This window comes from Homo sapiens, chromosome X (genome assembly GCF_000001405.40).
Source record: "Homo sapiens chromosome X, GRCh38.p14 Primary Assembly".
Classification (NCBI taxonomy): Eukaryota; Metazoa; Chordata; class Mammalia; order Primates; family Hominidae; genus Homo; species Homo sapiens.
In genome coordinates this window covers 63430561-63451709 of record NC_000023.11, presented here as the reverse complement: position 1 = coordinate 63451709, position 21149 = coordinate 63430561, and the positions used below count along the sequence as shown (strand labels likewise).

Genomic DNA, 21149 nt, shown 5'->3' with positions numbered 1-21149 from the left:
GGATCAGGCAGCAACATTTGCTGTTCTGCAATATTTGCTGTTCTGCAGCCTCTGCTGGTGATACCCAGGCAAACATGGTCTGGAGTAGACCTCCAGCAAACTCCAACAGACCTGCAGCTGAGGGTCCTGACTGTTAGAAGGACAGCTAACAAACAGGACATCAACACCAAAACCCCATCTGTGCGTCACTATCATCAAAGACCAAAGGTAGATTAAACCACAAAGATGGGGAGAAACCAGAGCAGAAAAGCTGAAAATTCTAAAAATCAGAGTGCCTCTTCTCCTCCAAAGGATCGCAGCTCCACGCCAGCAATGGAACAAAGCTCGACGGAGAATGACTTTGATGAGTTGAGAAAAGAAGGCTTCAGATGATCGGAAATAACAAACTTCTCCGAGCTAAAGGAGGATGTTTGAACCCATCGCAAGGAGCTAAAAACCTTAAAAAAAATTAGAAAAATGGCTAACTAGAATAAGCAGTGTAGAGGAGACCTTAAATGACCTGATGGAGCTGAAAACCATGGCACGAGAATTACATGACGCACTCACAAGCTTCAGTAGCCAATTCAATCAAATGTAAGAAATGGTATCAGTGATTGAAGATCAAATGAATGAAATGAACCGAGAAGAGAAGTTTAGAGAAAAAAGAGTAAAAAGAACTGAACAAAGCCTCCAAGAAATATGGGACTATGGGAAAAAACCAAATCTACATCTGATTGGTGTACCTGAAAGTGACGGGGAGAATGGAACCAAGTTGGAAAACACTCTCCAGGATATTATCCAGGAGAACTTCCCCAACCTAGCAAGGCAGGCCAACATTCAAATTCAAGAAATACAGAGAATGCCACAAAGATAGGCCTTGAGAAGAGCAAGTCCAAGACACATAATTTTCAGATTCACCAAAGTTGAAATGAAGGAAAAAATGTTAAGGGCAGCCAGAGAGAAAGGTTGGGTTACCCACAAAGGGAAGCCCATCAGACTAACAGTGGATCTCTCGGCAGAAACTCTACAAGCCAGAAGAGAGTTGGGGCCAATATTCAACATTATTAAGGAAAGAATTTTCAATCCAGAATTTCATATCCAGCCAAACTAACCTTCATGAGAGAAGGAGAAATAAAATTCTTTACAGACAAGCAAATGCTGCAAAATTTTGTCACCACCAGGCCTGCCTTACAAGAGCTCTTGAAGGAAGCATTAAACATGGAAACGAACAACCAGTACCAGCCACTGCAAAAACATGCCAAATTGTAAAGCCCATTGATACTAGGAAGAAACTGCATCAACTAACGAGCAAAATAACCAGCTAACATCATAATGACAGGATCAAATTCACACATAAGGATATTAACCTTAAATGTAAATGGGCTAAATGCTCCAATTAAAAGACACAGACTGGCACATTGGACAGAGTCAAGACCCATCAGTGTGCTGTATTCAGGAGACCCATCTCACATGCAGAGACACACATAGGCTCAACATAAAGGGATGGACGAAGATCTACCAAGCAAAAGGAAAACAAAAAAAAGCAGGGGTTGCAATCCTAGTCTCTCATAAAACGGACTTCAAACCAACAAAGATCAAAAGAGACAAAGAAGACCATTACATAATCGTAAAGGGATCAATTCAACAAGAAGAGCTAACTATCCGAAATATATATGCACCCAATACAGGAGTACCCAGATTCATAAAGCAAGTCCTTAGAAACCTACAAAGAGACTTAGACTCCCACACAGTAATAATGGGAGATTTTAACACCCCACCATCAACATTAGACACATCAACGAGACAGAAAGTTAACAAGGATATGCAGGAATTGAACTCAGCTCTGCACCAAGCGGACCTAATAGACATCTAGAGAACTCTCCACCCCAAATCAACAGAATATACATTCTTCTCAGTACCACATCCCACTTATTCCAAAATTGACCACATAGTTGGAAGTAAAGCACTCCTCAGCAAATGTAAAAAACAGAAATTGTAACAAACTGTCTCTCAGACCACAGTGCAATCAAACTAGAGCTCAGGATTAAGAAACTCACTCAAAACTGTTCAACTACATGGAAACTGAACAACCTGCTCCTGAATGACTACTGGGTACATAACAAAATGAAGGCAGAAATAAAGATGTTCTTTGAAACCAATGAGGACAAAGACACAACCTACTAGAATCTCTGGGACACATATAAAGCAATGTGTAGAGGGAAATTTATAGCATTAAATGCCCACAAGAGAAAGCAGGAAAGATCTAAAGTTGACACCCTAACATCACAATTAAAAGAACTAGAGAAGCAAGAGTAAACATATTCAAAAGCTAGCAGAAGGCAAGAAATAACTAAGATCAGAGCAGAACTGAAGGAGATAGAGACACAAAAAATCCCTTCAAAAAATCAATGAATCCAGGAGCTGGTGTTTTGAAAAGATCAACAAAATTGATAGACCGCTAGCAAGACTAATAAAGAAGAAAAGAGAGAAGAATCAAATAGGTGCAATAAAAAATGATAAAGGAGATATCACCACCGATCGCACAGAAATACAAACTACCATCAGAGAATACTATAAACACCTCTACGCAAATAAACTAGAAGATCTAGAAGAAATGGATAAGTTCCTGGAGACATAAACCCTCCCTAGCCTAAACCAGGAAGACGTTGAATCACTGAATAGACCAATAACAGGCTCTGAAATTGAGGGAATAATTAATAGCTTACCAGCCAAAAAAAGTCCTGGACCAGATGGATTCACAGCCAAAGACTACCAGAGGTACAAAGAGGAGTTGGTACCATTCCTTCTGAAAATATTCCAATCAATAGAAAGAGGGAATCCTCCCTAAGTCATTTTATGAGGCCAGCATCATCCTGATACCAAAGCCTGGCAGAGACACAACAAAAAAAGAGAATTTTAGACCAATATCCCTGATGAACATAGATGTAAAAATCCTCAATAAAATACTGCCAAACAGGATCCAGCAGCACATCAAAAAGCTTATCCACCACGATCAAGTTAGCTTCATCCCTTGGATGCAAAGCTGGTTCAACATATGCAAATCAATAAACGTAATCCATCACATAAAGAGAATCAAAGACAAAAACCACATGATTATCTCAATAGATGAAGAAAAGGCCTTTGACAATATTCAACAGCCCTTCATGTTAAAACTCTCAATAAACTAGGTATTGAAGGGACGTATCTCAAAATAATAAGAGCTATTTCTGACAGACCCACAGCCAATATCATACTGAAACAGCAAAAACTGGAAGCATTCCCTTTGAAAACTGGCACAAGACAGGGATGCCCTCTCTCACCACTCCTATTCAACATAGTGTTGGAAGTTCTGGCCAGGGCAGTTAGGCAGGAGAAAGAAATAAAGGGTATTCAGTTAGGAAAAGAGAAAGTCAAATTGTCCCTGTTTGCAGATGACATGATTGTATATCTAGAAAACCCCATAATCTCAGCTCAAAATCTCCTTAATCTGATAAGCAACTTCAGCAAAGTCTCAGGATACAAAATCAATGTGCAAAAATCATAAGCATTCCTATACACCAATAAGAGACAAACAGGGAGCCAAATCATGAGTGAACTCCCATTCACAATTGCTTCAAAGAGAATAAAATACCTAGGAATCCAACTTACAAGGGATGTGAAGGACCTCTTCAAGGAGAACTACAAACCACTGCTCAATGAAATAAAAGAGGACACAAACAAATGGAAGAACATTCCATGCTCATGGATAGGAAGAATCAATATGAAAATGGCCATACTGCCCAAGGTAATTTATAGATTCAATGCTATCCCCATCAAGCTACCAATGACTTTCTTCACACAACTGGAAAAATCTACTTTAAAGTTCATATGGAACCAAAAAAGAGCCCGCATTGCCAAGACAATCCTAAGCCAAAAGAACAAAGCTGGAGGCATCACGCTCCCTGACTTCAAAGTATACTACAAGGCTACAGTAACCAAAACAGCATGGTACTGGTACCAAAACAGAGAGATAGACCAATGGAACAGAACAGAGTCCTCAGAAATAATACCACACATCTACAACCATCTGATCTTTGACAAAGCTGACAAAAACAAGCAATGGGGAAAGGATTCCCTATTTAATAAATGGTGCTGGGAAAACTGGCGAGCCATATGTAGAAAGCTGAAACTGGATCCCTTCCTTACACCTTATACAAAAATTAATTCAAGATGGATTAAAGACTTAAATGTTAGACCTAAAACCATAAAAACCCTAGAAGAAAACCTAGGCAATACCATTCAGGACATAGGCATGGGCAAGGACTTCATGACTAAAACATCAAAAGCAATGGCAACAAAAGCCAAAGTAGACAAATGGTATCTAATCAAACTGAAGAGCTTCTGCATAGCAAAAGAAACTACCATCAGAGTGAACAGGCAACCTACAAAAACCTCAAAAAGTGAGCTAAGGATTTGAACAGACACTTCTCAAAAGAAGACATTTATGCAGGCAACAGACACATGAAAAAATGCTCATCATCACTGGCCATCAGAGAAATGCAAATCAAATCCACAATGTGATACCATCTCCTACTAGTTAGAATGGCGATCATTAAAAATTCAGGAAACAACGGGTGCTTGAGAGGATGTGGAGAAATAGGAACACTTTTACACTTTTAGTGGGACTGTAAACTAGTTCGTCCATTGTGGAAGACAGTGTGGCGATGCCTCAGGGATCTAGAACTGGAAATACCATTTGACCCAGCCATCCCATTACTGGGTATATACCCAAAGGATTATAAATCATGCTGCCATAAAGACACATGCACACGTATGTTTATTGTGGCACTATTCACAATAGCAAAGACTTGGAACCAACCCAAATATCCAACAATGATAGACTGGATTTAAAAAATGTGGCAAATATACACCATGGAATACTATGCAGCCATAAAAAAGGATGAGTTCGTGTCCTTTGCAGGGACATGGATGAAGCTGGAAGCCATCATTCTGAGCAAACTATCGCAAGGACAGAAAAGCAAACACCGCATGTTCTCACTCATAGGTGGGAATTTAACAATGAGAACACTTGGACACAGGGTGGGGAACATCACACACTGGGGCCTGTGGTGGGGTGGGGGAAGAAGGGAGGGATAGCATTAGGAGATATACCTAATGTAAATGACGAGTTAATGGGTGCAGCACACCAACACGGCACATGTATACATATGTAAGAAACCTGCACATTGTGGACATGTACCCTAGAACTTAAAGTATAATTTAAAAAATTCTAGAAAATAAAAATCCATTCCATTAAAAAAATACTAAATTAGTAAATGTACATGTTTCCTGAGTTCCACAAGCTGTCCTACCCAATTAAACCTAAGTTGGGAGCTATGGGAATTCTGATACATAGCTGGACACTCAGAAGTACAGGTGACAACCTGCTACTTCCAATTAGTGTTGAAGCGGGGACATTCCTGTGAGATAGAGGCCTCAACCTGTGAGGGCTCCATCTCACAAGATTTAGCACACTAGATCTTGTGAGATATGATCTTGTGATATCTCACAAGATCTGACACTATCCAACCCAACTAAATACTGTCGGAATTGAATAATGGAATACCCAGTTGGTGTCCATTGAAGAATTGCTTGGTGTGTGAGGGAATAATCCTCACATATTAATAATAGAAGTGCAGTGTTCTGTGCTGTGTTAGGTGGGCATAGAGGGAAATAAAGTTTGTCTTTTCCTCTATGTTTCTCTGAAATCCCTTTCAAAACCACAATAGTCTTTTCTTTGCAGAAACGTACAAGCTAATCATAAAATTGGAAAATTGGGGCTCAGTATTGCCAAAACAATCTTGATGGAGCAGAGGAAATTTGGAGAACCACACTTCCCGTTTTCACAAATTACTACAAAGCTATAGTAGTTAAGACAATGTGCTACTGTCATAAGGGTAGACCTATATAAGGTAATATAATAGAATTCAGAGTGCAGAAATTAACCCATGCATTAATATTCAATTGATCTTAAAAAGGATTGCCAGGACAATTTAATGGGGAAGGAATAGCCTTTTCAACAAATGGTCCTGGAACAAATGGATATGCACATACAAAATAATGGAGTTGCACTCATATGTATCAAAGACTTGAATGTGAGAGGTAAAAGTATAAAATGTTTAGATAAAAAATGAAAATTTTAATGACATTTGATTAGGCACCTTTTTAAAGTATGACACAAAGATCAAGCAAGAAATGACAATATAGATAAATTTGACTTCAAAATTTATTTTGTACATTGAAGGACACTACCATGAAAAGACAATCTACAGAATTAGAGAAAGCCTTTTCAAGCCATCAATATATCTGATTAGAGTCTAGTGTACATAACATATAATGAACACTTAAAACAACAATAAAAAGAGAAAAACAAAAATAATTTGGTCAGTTAAAACATAACCAAATTATGTGAATAGATACTTCTCCAAAGAAGACGTATATATGACAAATGAACACACAAAAATATGTTCAACATCATTAATCATATAGGGAAATGCAAACCAGTAAGGTATTCTTTATATCCACTGGGATGGCTATAAATATTTTAATAAGGAAATAAATGGTATTGGTGATTTGCAAAATTTGAATCCTCATATATTGAAGGAGGGAATGTAAAATAGTGCAGCTGCTATGGAAAATACTTTCACAGTTTATAAAATAATTCACTGTAGAATGCCAATGTGACCTATCAATTCTAATCCTAACTCTATAACCATAAGAATTGAAACCATATGTTCAAACAAAATCTTGTACACAAAAAAAAAGTCCATCAATGGTTAAACAAAATGTGGTCTAGCAAAACAATAATATATTGGGCCATAAAAATAAATTAATTACTGATATGTGCTCCAAAATGGATGAATGTTGAAAAGATGCTCCCTGGAAGAAAAAGGATGTCAAGTGTAGGCAATTTCATGGAGATATAAAGTAGATAAATGTTTGCCAATGACTTAGAGATGAAGATGATGGAGAGTATATGTTAATGAACATGGGAGTATGGAAATGTTCTCTAATTAGATAGTGGTAATAGTTGCACAGCATTGTGAAAATACTGAAAACTGCTGAAGTACACATTTTAAAATACTAAAATTTATGTTATATATCAATAATAAAAAATAGAAAAATAAAAATAATATAATGTTATTATATTTCACAGTGTACATGCATACCAGTAGGCTGTATGACTGTATTCATTTTATTTTATTTGTATAAATTTATGGGGTACAAGTGTAATAATGTTACATGGATATATTGTATAGTGGTGAAGTCAGGGCTTTTAGTATATCCATCACCAGAATAATGTACATTGTATCCATTAATTAATATTTCATCTGCCAAATCCCCATCCTTGAGTCTATATTGTGTATTATTCTACACTCTAAGTCCATGTTTACATGTCATTTATCTCCTACTTATAAGTGAGAACACGAGGTGTCTGTCTTCCTGTGTCTTACTTCCTGGGTCTCTTGAAGACAGCATAGTTTTAGGTCTTGTTTCTTTATTTACCTTGCCACTCTGTGACTTTTAATTGGGGCACTTAGCATATTTACATTCAAGGTTAGTATTGACGTGTGGATTTGATTCTGTCATAATATTAGCTGGTTATTTTGCACACTTATTTGTGTGGTTGCTTTATAGTGTCACTGGTGTGTTTTTACATCAGTGTGTTTTTTTAGTGACTGGTAACTGTTTTTCTTTTCCACATTTAGTGCTTCCTTCAGGAGCTCTTATAAGGCAAGTCTGCTGATAACAAACTTCCTCTGCATTTGCTTGTCTGAAAAGGATTTTATTTCTCCTTCACTTATGAAGCATAGTTTGGATGGATATGAAATTCTGGTTTTGGAATTTTTTTTTTTTAAGAATGTTGAATATTCGTCCTCAATCTGTTCTTGTTTGTAGGGTTTCTGCTGAGAGGTCTGCTGTTAGTCTAATGGACTTCTTTTTGTAGGTGACCTGACCTTTCTCTGTAGCTGCCATTAACATTTTTTTTTTTTTTTGACCTTGGAGAATTAGATGATTATGTGTCTTGGAGATGATCTTCTTGTAAAGTGTCTAACTGTGCTTCTCTGCATTTCCTGAATTTAAATGTTTGCCTTTCTATCTAGGTTGAGGAAGTTCTCATGGATGATATCCTGAAATGTTTTCCAAGTGATTCCATTCTCCCCATCTCTTTCAGGTACACCATTGAATCGTAGATTTGGTCTCTTTACATAATCCCATACCTCCCAAAGATTTTGTTCATTCCTTTGCATTCTTTTTATGTCTGTTCTTGTTTGCCTGTCTTATTCCAAAAAGATAGGCTTCAAGCTCTGAGATTCTTTCTTTCCACTTGGTCTATTCTGCCATTGATACTTATGATTGCATTGTGAAGTTCTCATAGTGTGTTTTTCAGCTCTATCAGGACAGTAATGTTATTTCCTATACTGGCTATTTTGTCTGTCAACTTCTGAATTGTTTTATCATGATTTTTAGCTTCCTTGGATTGGGTTTCAGTGTACTCCTGTAGCTCAATGATCTTCATTCCTATTCATATTCTGAATTATATTTTTGTCCTTTCAGCCATCTCAACCTGGTTCAGAACTCTTGCAGGAGAGGTGATGTGGTCATTTGGAGGAAAGAAGGTACCTGGGCTTTTTGAGTCTTCAGGATTCTTGGGTTGATTCTTTCTCTTCTTTCCGTGCTTATCTTCCTACAATCTTTGCTGTTGCTTACTTTATTTTATCCTATCTAATTATTTTGAGGGCTTGATTGTGGTATAAGTTGGATGCAGCCGTTGATGAAAAGAGTCAAACTCCGTAAAATATTTTAAGAGATTTGTCCTGAGCCCAATATGAGTGACCATGGCCTGTGATACAGCCCTCAGGAGGTCCTGAGAACATGTGTCCAAGATGGTTGGGGTGCAGCTTGGTGTTATACATTTTAGGGAGGCATGAAACATCAATTAAATACATTTGAGAAATACATTGGTTTGGTCGAGAAAGGCAGGAAAATTCGAAGAAGGGGCTTCCAGGCTTTGGGTGAATTTAAACATTTTCTTGTTTACTCTTGGTTGAGTTTGTCTAAAGACCTGGGATTAATAGAAAGGAAATGTTCAGGTTAAGATAAAAGATTATGGAGACCAAGGTTTCTGAAGTCTCATAGTGGCTGCCCTTACAGACAATAGATGACAAATATTTCCTATTCAGATCTTTAAAAGGTGCTAGAATCTCAGTTAATATCTTCAGGATTGGGAGGGCCTGGAAGAAAAAGATCTAGCTATATTATTAGAGAGTCTTTACATATGCAAATTTCCCCCACAAAGGATGGTTTTGAAGGGCCATTTCAAAATATGATGAAGCATTTTGGGGTAAAATATTTTTATTTTCTTCTTTGTCACATAAGGTTATGCCAGAGTCAGATTGGAAAGTAAGTCACGATATACAGGGTTAAATAAAACCCATCAGATGATAATTTATAGTTTGTAGGGCATGACTCCTCAGATCCCTTACATAAGAATTTGGACAAGATTAAAAAAAAATTCAGATCTTAGTCCTTACAGCCAACTGGCTTCATTTCTGAAAGATTTTAGGTGGCCAGCGCTTACCTCCCAACTTTTGGACTGCATTCTCTAACTGTGGGGAACTTGTATTGGGTCTCAACTTTGTTCTCTGCCTCCTTGAATTTAGGAATTTACTGCACTATGAGGGCCAAGGTGCTCCTGCACTGCTGTTCACTACACTCCAATGGGTAGTGTCAGCCAAAGCGTTTTATAGTATGTTTACAGCCAGATCCTTCCTCATTCACATATGCCAGCAACAGCAGTAGCAGCAGCTGCAGCAGTGTGGTAAGTTGGTGCCAGGGTGCCTGCCTCTCTGCAAATGTTCACCACAGTGGTGAAGGCAATGCAGGGTGGGAGGGAGGTACAGGCAGCCCCTGATGGTGTCTATAGACATGCTGGCAAAGTTTTTGACTCAGATGTTGGTTCATGGGGCATGTGGTCATGCTGGAGATGGTGCTGGCTCAAGGGTGGGCTTCTGGCAGGCACAAGTCTGGGCGCCGTCTCAGTGCTCCACAATCAGGAGTGGCTGCTCAGGGCTGGGAAGTATCCACTGTTTTCTGTTCAGTGTTAGTGCAAGAGCTCCAGCACCATTGATTGAAAAGAGTGTCATTCTTCAATGTATGTTCTTGTCAACTTTGTCAGAGATCAGTTGGCTGTAGACATGTGGCTTTATTTCTGGGTCCTCTATTCTGATCCATTAACATATGTATCTATTTTCATACCAGTTTCATGCTGTTTGGTTACTATAGCCTTGTAGTATAATTTGAAGTCAGGTAATGTGATGCCTCCACCTTTGTTCTTTTCACTTAGGATTGCTTTGGCCATCTACACACTTTTCTGGTTTTGTGTGAATTTCACTATTGTTTTACTAATTCTGTGAAAGAATAACATTTATATTTTGACATGATTGGATTTAATCTCTAGATTGTTTTGGTCAGTATGGTCATTTTAACTGTATTAATTTTTCCAATTCATGAGCATGAGATGTTTTTCCATTTGTATTATCTATAATTTATTTTGTCAGTGTTTTGCAGTTTTTCTTTCACCTTCTTGGTTAAATATATTCCTGAGCATTTATTGTAGATATTGTGAATGGAATTTCCTTCTTGAGTTTGTTCTCAGATAAGATTATTGTTGTATAAATAGGCTACTGATTTTTATACCTTTCTTTTGTATCCTAAATCTGTATTGAACTCATTTATCAAATCTAGGAAATTTTTGGTTGAATCTTTAGGATTTTATAGATACATAAGCATAACATCTGCAAATAGCAATAATATCACTTCCTCTTGTCCAACTTAGATGGCTTTTATTTCTTTCTCTTTCCTGAATGCTCTGGCTAGGACTTTTAGTTCTCTGTTTAATATGAGTGGTGAAAGTTGCATTCTTGTCTTATTTAAGTTCTTAGAGGAAAAGCTTTCGACTTTTCTCTATTGACTATGATGTTGGTTTTGCATTTCTTGTATATGGTCTTTGTCATTTTGAGTTATGTTCTTTTTATTCTTAGTTTATTGAGTATTTTATCATGAAGGGATGCTGAATTTTATGAAAAGTTTTCTCTGTGTATATTGAGATGATCATGTGATTTTTATTCTCAATTATTTTTATATAATGTATCACATGTACTGATGTGTGTATATTGAACCATCCTTTCATCTATGTTATAAAACCCACTTGATCACTGTGCAGTATCTTTGTGATGTGCTGTTGGATTTGGTTCACTAGTATTTTTTTGAGGATTTTTGCTTCAATGTTCATCAGTGTTATTGGTCTGTACTTTTTCTGGTTTCTATTTTCTGTGTCCTTGTTTGGTTTATATATCAGGATGATACTGGCTTCTTAGAATGAAGTAAGGGAAATTCTGTCCTCCTCACATTTTTGGAACAATTTCAGGAGTATTCATATTAATTCTTCTTTGTAGGTTTGGTAGAATTCAGCTGTGAATCTGTATGGGTATGGATTTTTTTGTTTTTGGGGTTTTCTTTTATTACTATTCCAATCTCCTTCTTCATTGTTGATCTGTTCTGGATTTCCATTTCTTTTTCTTTTTACAGTTTTTGGGAGGTTAGTTGTGTCCCAAAATGTATCTATTGTCTTTAGGTTGTTAAGTTTGTGAGCATTTAGTTGTTCAAAAGAGTATCCGATGATCATTTTTATGTGTATGTTATGAATTGCAGTGGTTAGTCTAGCTAGTGGTTTATCAGTTCTGTTTATCAATTCTTTTTGTTTTATTTTGTTTTGTTTTGTTTATCAGAACAAAAAAGAAACCTTTTTTGTTTTGAAGAGTGAGTTTTTTGTTTTATTGATTACTTTGTATTGGTTTGGTTTTTGATGTAGTTTATTTAGTTCTGCCCTGATTTATTTATTTATTTATTTATTTATTTATTTATTTATTTATTTTCTTTTGCTAATTTTGGGTTTGGTTTTTTCTTGGTTTGGTTGTTTCTTGAGGTGTAACATTAGGTTGTTATTTTTTGATTGCTCTACTTTGTTGATGTAGGCATTTACTGCTATAAACTTTCTTCGCTTTGTTATATCCCAGAAGTTCTGGTATATATTTCCATTTGTATTCATTTCAAAGATTTTCTTAAATTTCTGTCTTAACTTTATTGACCTAAATACTCAGGAGTGTGTTGTTTAATTCCCATGCTTTTGTATATTTTCAGTGTTTCCTCTTGGTATTTCTGTTTTTTCCATTGTGGTCTGAGAAGATACTTGATATGATTACAGTTTTTAAAAATGTGTTAAGACTTGTTTTGTGGCCTAACATATGGCCTGTCTTGGAAAATGTTCCATGTGCAATGAGAAGAATGAATGTATATTCTTCAGTTGTTGGGTAGAATGTTCTATAAATGCCTGTTAGGTCCATTTGGTCTAAAATTCAACATAAATCCAAAGTTTCCGTGTTGTATTTTTTGTCTCATTGATCTGTCTAGTGCTGTAAGTGGGGCATTGAGGTCCCCCATTATTAATGAATTGCTGTATATCTCTTCTTTAGGTCTACTAATATTTGTTTATGAATGGTGGGAGCTTTGGTTTTGGGTGCATATACATTTAGAATTGTTATATCCTCTTACTGAATTGATGACTTGGCCATATTTTTTATAATATGATTATCTTGCCTTTTTTTACTGTTTTTGATTTAAAGACTGTTTTATCTGATATAAATATAGTGACTCCTGCTTTCTGTTTCTATTTGTACATAATTTTTTTTCACACTTTACTTTCAGTTTAAATGTATCTTTACAGGTAAACTGAGTTTCTTGTAAGCTTCATATGGTTGGATCATAATTTTCTAAATCCATTTTGTCAATCTGTGTCTTTTAAGTGGAGCATTGAATTCATTTATATTCAGGGTTAATAATGATATGTTACATTTAGTTACTGTCATATTGTTAAAAATATAAAAATGTATAAAAGTATTCTCCAGGCCGGGCGCGGTGGCTCATACCTGTAATCCCAGCACTTTGGGAGGCTGAGGCGGGCGGATCACGAGGTCAGGAGATCGAGACCATCCTGGCTAACATGGTGAAACCCTGTCTCTACTAAAAATACAAAACATTAGCCGGGCGTGGTGGCAGGCGCCTGTAGTCCCAGCTACTCGGGAGGCTGAGGCAGGAGAATGGTGTGAACCCAGGAGGCGGAGCTTGCAGTGAGCCGAGATCGCGCCACTGCACTCCAGCCTGGGCAACAGAGTGAGACTCTGTCTCAAAATAAATAAATAAATAAAAGTATTATCCAGCTGTTTTATAAATTCTGTTAGTCTTTAGTGTTATTGTATTGAATCACCATTTGATTTATTTCTCTTCATCCTTTATGTGATGGTTTTATAATACCTGTGAGGTTACTTTTTCTGGGTGTTTCCATGATGGTGAATATTGACTTTTAATTTCCATGTTTAGGATTCCTTTGGGCATTTCTCATAAGTTAGTGCAGTGGTGATGAATTTCCTCAGCATTTGCTTCTCTGGAAATTATTTCTTCTTCTTTGAAGCTTAATCTAGCTGGATATAAAATTGTTGATTGCAGCTTTTTGTTAAGCGTTTGATAATACTATCCCATTCTGTTCTGACTGTTAAGTTTTCTGCTAGTATGTTTTCACTTAGTCTGATAGGGTTTCCTTGTGGGTCAGTAGATACTTTTCTCTTGATAATTTTACAATTCTTTTTTTCACATTTTTTAGACAGTCTGATGAGAGTATGCTATAGTGAATTCCTTTTTATAATGTATTTTCCAAGAGATTGTTGGTCCCCCCGTATGTGTATGTCTACATTTCTTTGCATAATCTGGAAGCTTTCATCAATTATTTCTTTAAATAGGTTTTATATCATTTTTAAAATTTTTATTCCTTTTTGGGAATACAAATAATTTGAAAGTTTGGTAGCTCTTAGTCCCATGAGTCTTGAAGGCCTTTCTCATTCTTTTTTATTCTTTTTAAAAGTTTTTGTCTTCATGGGCTATTTCAACACACCTGTCTTCAAGTTCTGAGATTCTTTATTTTGCTTGTTCTGGTATATTGTTGAAAATTTGACATGATTTTTTAAAGATATTTATATTCTTGATAAGTTGATTGTTTATATTCTGAATTGATTTTGTATTTCTTTGTATTGGTTTCAGATTTTTTCTTGCATTTCATTGAGCTTTTTAAAAATCAATATTCTGACTTATTTGGCATTTTGAGGATTTTTTGTTAGAATCTATTGCTAGAGAATTATTGCGATCCTTTGAAAGTGTCATAATACCTTGCTTTTTCATGATTCTTGTATCTTTACATTGATCACTGCATATCTGGAGTATTAGTCTTTTTTTATTTCTGAATGTACTTTCATGGGGGAGGCTATTCTTGATGTGACTCTGGTGTATGTTGTGTAAGGCTGTTTGGCTGTGTTCAGTGGCAAAGATTGTATGATTTCCTTGCTTCTAAATACCCTTAATATGATCTTTCTCAAAAGCCAGTAATCTTTCTCAAATGCCAAGTATACTAAATGGGTGAGTGCTCTCATGATTTCCTGAACTGAACAGCTGAGGTGGCATGCCTCATGCAGGTAGCAGTGGTCATAAAAACATTTTATCATTCCTGAGCGTTGTGCTCTTATGTCAGCTGTTATTGTAATGGGCTGTGCAGATTCACCTCCATGCCAGTAGTTGGTGCCTGCAGGTTACAGCCAGCTAAAGTGATAGCAGAAGTGTTTATGCCCAACCTCTTTATCTGAGAAAATTGCTCAAGTGGCCCAGGTGGTGCATGATACCATGGAATGTTCAGGGTCATGAGTTCATGTTCTGCCTTGGGTTGGAGTTGAAACTAACTGGAACCAGGCATGGGAAACCTACACTCAGGATCCTCAATGGTGGATTAAAGCACCAGCCCTGTTGGGGGTGGCATCATGGTACTCGGGCCTCTGGAAGAATGCATGGGTGAGGGACAACTGCTTCTTCATCAAGGTCTCAGCACAGAGAGGGAGGGGTGGTGCCAGTGCCACATTCTTAGCCAGTGGAAGTGAAATGTGCTTCCCCCTCACACTCCAGACTTGACATCATTCACTCTCCTGTACCAATTGTGGTAAGCAGTTTGAATATTTGGCTAGTCACTACAATTTGCTTCTAGTTTCCAACAAAGTCCCTAGTATTAGAAGTCACTGACTTGGTCAATACCATGCCTCCCAGGCAATTCTCCTCCTTCTCTGGTCCTAGAAGAGAAGCTCAGTTCTGGTACCAGTAGCTGGAGTCCACACTACACTCATATCTCTGTTCTGGCTGTGGGAGCTCCTCCCGTTTGAGCCCTAGTTGTCCGTGCCCCAGTGCAAGTCTCTCTAATGCCAAAGACTGCCACTGCCTCAAGCTCCCTTGACCCCACAGAGCTTGCTAAGAGCTAAAATCTAGAATGTCATTTTTCTTTAGGTACCCAAGTCTGAGGAAGTACATGGAACACTTCCCAGAGCAGTTCCTTCTTATAGGCTCCCGGCCATTACCCAAGTTAGATCTAGGGATTCAGAAAGTTAAGGTGCTCTCCTGTGGTCTGGATTTCACCATTCCCCAGTGGAAAAGTGAACTGCAGAGAAGCACTCACTCATGCTTTCCCATGTTGGGGATTCGTACCCAGTATTTAGCTGATCCCAGCCAAGAGAACTTCATGCCTTCCTTCTGTTTCCCAGATTCAGAATTTTTTTTCATTTTTCTGCTTAACTGCTGTGGTCCTTGTTATATAATTTTCAGAGAAGAACCACTATTTTTGCTCGTCTAAATGGATTAGGCACGTTGGAAAAACCTCTAGTCAGTAATCTTGAGGAAAATAAAGTATGTGTATATTTCTTAGATTCATCTTCTATATGGTATTTAAAATAGACTTTTTTAAATACTGCTTTTAGTGCTTGTCCAATTTTTAATTATTTTTCATTTTTATTTCTTTGTATTGGCAATATTGGGATAAATATTTTCTGTGTTTCTTTTTCATTTAAGTGAATTGCATGCTAGTATCAAAATTTTACCACACATATTTGTTGTTCCAATCCGAGAGGTTTTATTTCACCCTATCATTGATTTATAGATAACACAAACAACTGCTGGGTTGTTAGAAATAAATATTCACTTTGTTGTATCATTTGCTCATTTCATTTCAGAAATTGATCCATTATTATTTTACTCAAACATTTTATTATAAAATATTTAAATGTTCAGAAATATTGAAAGAATTAGGTTTTGAACATCCAAATATAACCTTCTAATATTAACATTTTACTATAATTGATTTATTATTTATCATATTTATGTATTTATATCGCTATAAATTTATTAATATACCTTTTTATCTTTCCAAAATAATATTTAACATTAATAATGAAATATTTCCAACAGGCACAATAGTAAAGGGATTAACATAAATTCCTAAATGCATACCATCCAACTATTAAATTATAACATTTTTATACTTGCTTTAGCTTCTCTTTAAACAAATAATTCATTACAAATGAAATTAAAATACTTTTTGTGCTATAATGTAATCCCATTTCCCTCTCCTTCTTGTGTTTATTTTTCCATGTATATTATTAAGATCCTAGTACATATTTTAGTATATAAAAATAACATTTATGTTGTTTTGCATGTTTTCAGTATTTACCAAAACAGTTTCATTTTGTGTATTATCCTGGGGTGTTCCGCCCAATATTTTGTCTGTGAAATTGATGCATGTTGATCGTGTTAGCCCAAGCCACGCCATTTTGCAGACTGCCACCATTTTACAAACTCTGGTCAGAATGGAAAATTCCACCAGCGCCTGAGCTGTGAGAAACATCCTGTTGGAAAGGTCCCAGGCCTAAACCCTGAGGGCAATAAATTCATCCTGTCAGACAGGTTCCAGGCCTAACCCCTGACTGCAGTAAATTCCTTCCTTTATCAGCAGCCAAACACACCACCCCCGCCCCATTTTCTCAACCATCCCCGACCTCTCCTGCCCAGGCCTAGAACTGCCCCAGCCTGTAAGAAGGACTGGGGCTCCGACGCTAGCTAGTACCCCCTATCTGCAGGCCTTTCTCCCAATAAACCTGTGTTGCCCTTGAGCTGCCTCTGCTCCATTCCTTTCTCCCTTTCGTTCTAACATTTGGTGCCAAAACCTGGGATGGGGTCTAGATCCCACAAGGGAGAGGTACTTCCTTGCAACCTGGGAAGGAAGAGGCAGCGGCAGCTCGCCCCGGGCTAATTCCCAAATCCTGATTGGCCCCTGGTTCCCAGCCCTGCCCACTTTCGTCTTTCTACGGAGGAATTCTTTCTCTCGGCCCCATCCTCCCACCGCTTTCTCCTTCCCCCTCTTTCCTCTCTGTGGCTCTGGCAAGGACCACTCCCATTGCATCCAACACCGGCCTCCAATTGTGGGTGAGTTTCCCTTTCCACCCTCTGGATTCCTCTCATATTTCTGCCTGTTAGCCAGAAAACCCCAGCGCCAGGTAAGAGGATTCCCCGGTCACCACTGGGTGACCCTGGCCTGCCTTCTCAGGGGATGCCCTCAGAATGCTCACGCTCTGACCACTCTGGTTTCTGGGGGACCACGAAGAGCTACGGGGGCACCCCGGCTCTTCTCCATCCCTTCTCATGGTTAGAATTGGGATACTCACTCCCCTACTCCACATTTTTCACCCTCCCAGCCACTCATATGGGGCAGGGCTCCTCGAAATCCCCTCCAGACACCCCTCTCAGATGTCTCATCTGGAACCTCCGAGCACTGGGCTTGGCCGACTCCATTAAAACTAAATGCCTTATTTTCCTTTGTAATGTGGCCTGGCCCCAGTATAAGCTGGACAATGATGGCTGCTGGCCCAGATGGGACTTTTGACTTCCAAATTCAACATGATTTAGAAAATGTCCTCCAGCACAATGGCAAGTGGTCCAAGATGCTCTATATCCAGGCTTTTGCCAATTCCCTCTATCAGTCCTGTTCACCTTACCAGCTGCTCCTCTTAAACAAGAAATCTGCCAAAATGCCTCCCCTTCCAGACAAGCCCTCCTCCTCCTCCTCCTCTGATTTTTATCCAGACGACGAATCCCCACCCGCCCCCCAGCCCCACTCCCACCACCGTCTCCTCCTCCTTCCCCTTCGGCTCCCCCACCCCCTTGTTCCTATCCCCCATCTCCTCTACCCTCTCCCCACCATAACTGATCTCATACTCAGCCCCCTTCTGCTGCTGAAAACCAGGCACAGGCCCAGAGGCCCTCTAAAGTCCCCCCATTGGGGGATGTTATGGAGACTGAAGGCATAGTCTGAGTTCATGTTCCTTTCTCTGTAGCTGATGGCTCTCAGATTGAAAAGAGACTTGACTCCTTTTCCACAGACCCCACATCCTTCCACAAGGAATTTCTGTATATCACTCAATCTTATGACCTTACCTGGCATGACATTTCTGTCATCCTCTCCTCCTCCCTCACCCTGGAGAACAGGGAACATATCTGGATCAGGCCCAAGCAGACACCCTCCACGGACAAGATGCTGCCCATAACCCAGTCACAACCCTCGCTATTCCCAGTACTGTCCCCAGTTGGGATTATCAGGTGGCTTCTGCAGACAGACAGAAACTAGGCCATATGATAACATGCCTCCTAACTGGCATGAATAAAACCGCCCTTACGACTGTCAAGTATGAAAAGATAAAGAAATCACTCAAGGCCCCTGACAAAAACCCTACTCTTTTTTTCTCCTGCCTTTCAGAGACCGTGATTAAATATACCAGCTTAAGCCCTGACACTGCCGAGGACAGAGTCTACCTCCATTTACACGTCATTTCCCAGTCAGCCCCCGACATCCAAAAGAAACTCCAAAGACTGGAGGATGGCCCTCAAACCTCCTAAAGAGACTTAATCAAAGCAGCCTTCAAGGTCTTTAACAATAGAGAGGAAGAAATAAAAACCCGAAAGCTTAAAAGAGACCAGGCTAAATACCAGATGCTGTCAGCTGCCATACAACAGGATTCCCCAATGCATACAAAAATCCTCAACCTCATGACAGTCCCCATCAGGAGTCTGTTTTAAGTGTAGCCAACAGGGTCCCTGGGCAAGAGTCTGCCCCAATCTTGTGCCGCCCTCAAAACCTTGCCTCATCTGTGGTATCAAGGGACACTGGAAGTCAGATTGCACTCAACAAGACTCTTCACCCCGCTTGACCACCTCTAACTCAAACAGGTCCTGCAACCCTGGTTCCAGTCTGGCAAGCATTGTAGACCTGGCTGCTGAAGACTGACGGGGCCCAGGGTCCGCTGCCCCCACCGCCATCACCACCTCGGAACCCAGGGTAACGCTGTCAGTCTTTGGTAAGCCCATGCTCTTCCTTTTAGATCTGGGGACTAGTTACTCAGTTTTATCAGAATATTCTTGACCCTCCTCAGTTCTTCTATCTCTATTGTGAGAGTCAATGGAATCCCCTCTAGGCACATACTGGTCCCCTATTATGCAACCTATTCAATACCCCCTTCATCCACTCCTTCTTAGTTATCCCTTAGTGTCCTACCCCTATCTTGGGGTGGAATATACTGAGTAAATTCCAGGCCCCCATATGACTAGCCTCCTGCAATTCTACCCCTTTTATTTTACTCTGCTGTCCAGATGCTTCCCTCTCCTCCCCCTCATCTTTGCTATCCACTCTGTTACCTTCTGTCAATCCAGAAGTGTGGAACGTTTCTAAACCCACAATAGCCACACATCACATCCCAGTCAAAATAACCTTCCAAGACTCCTCCATTTTCCTTCATCAGCCTCAATATTCCCTTAGCCCAGCCAGCCTCAGGGGCCTCAAACCTATTATCTGTGAGTTTTTACAAGCTCAGATTCTCAAACCTGTTAACTCTCCCCACAACACCCTTGTCCTGGCTGTCAAAAAAACAGACAGATTTTACCACTTGGTCCAGGATCTCCATGTCATTTACCAAGTGGAGGTACCAACCTATCCAGTGGCCCCCAACCCCTATACTCTACTCTCCCATATTCCCCCATCTAGCACACACTTCTCTGTATTGGATCTAAGGGACTTTTTTTTTTTTTTTTTTTTTTTTTTTTTTTTTTTTTACTATTCCCTTGGATCTGGCTTCCCAAAGTCTTTTTGCTTTCACCTGGTCAGACCCAGATACTCACACATCTACCTAACTAACAGACTGTACTCCCACAGGGGTTCCGGGATAGCCCCCTCCTATTTGGGCAGGCTCTCACCAAGGAACTAATCGAGCTTCCCCTTGCTCCTAGCAGCCTCCTTCAATACATCAATGACCTCCTTATGTGTAGTCCCTCCTTTGATCTATCCATCAACACATCACCCAACTTCTAAATTTCCTCTATGGCCAGGGATATCAGGTTTTACCTACAAAGGCTCAAGTAGCCCAAACCCAAGTCACTAACCTTGGACTCACCCTAACCCCTAATTCTTGAGCCATGCCAGCCCGATGGAAGGAGCTAATACAGGATGTGCCCCTTCCCCACACCAAGAAGGACCCTTCCTTTTTGGGCCTTGTTGGGTACTTCCAGCTGTGGATCATTAACTTTGGCCTGTTGACCAAACCACTCTGCACGGCATCACGTGGGTCCATCCTAGAACATTTGGACCCAGCTTGCCCATTAACTCCCACTTCTAAAAACTGAAAGATGCCCTTTTAATGTCCCAGCACTAGGACTACCCAATTCCATTAAACCCTTTACCCTGTATGTTCATTGTAATCAAGGCCTTGCCCTTGGATTTCTCTGCCAAACCCGTGGCAACACTCCAGAAGCCATTGCATACTTCTGAAAACTGGACTCTATCATCCAAGGCTGGCCTCCATGCTTGAAAGTTCTGGATGCAGCTACATTGCTGGCCTCAGAGGCACAAAAACTCACCCTCTACCAGCACATTACTATTGCATCTTCCCATAACTTATGGGACCCCATGAGCCATTGATCTCTTCTTTTCCTCCTGCCATCCAGCTTACAGCAACCCTCTAACACCTTCCAGAGATGTAAAATTCTAAATCCAACCACCCTCCTCCCTATAAGTACTTCCAATTCTGAATCCCCCACTCTTGCCTAGACCTCTTAGCCTCCCTCTCCTCCCCTTTCCAACACATTTCAGAAGCCCCTTTGCGGAAGGA

At 39.3% G+C, this 21149-nt stretch overlaps 1 long non-coding RNA gene across 6 annotated transcripts in view; it reads left to right on the top strand.

Annotated features, from left to right (window-relative positions):
- Positions 1–21149, top strand: part of LINC01278 (long intergenic non-protein coding RNA 1278) — a 134538-nt gene that overhangs the window by 109386 nt on the left and 4003 nt on the right. For all 6 annotated transcript variants that reach the window (NR_152611.1, NR_152612.1, NR_152613.1 and 3 more), the window contains one exon: positions 19219–19346. This is a non-coding gene — a long non-coding RNA (long intergenic non-protein coding RNA 1278). The remainder of the gene's footprint in view (positions 1–19218; positions 19347–21149) is intronic.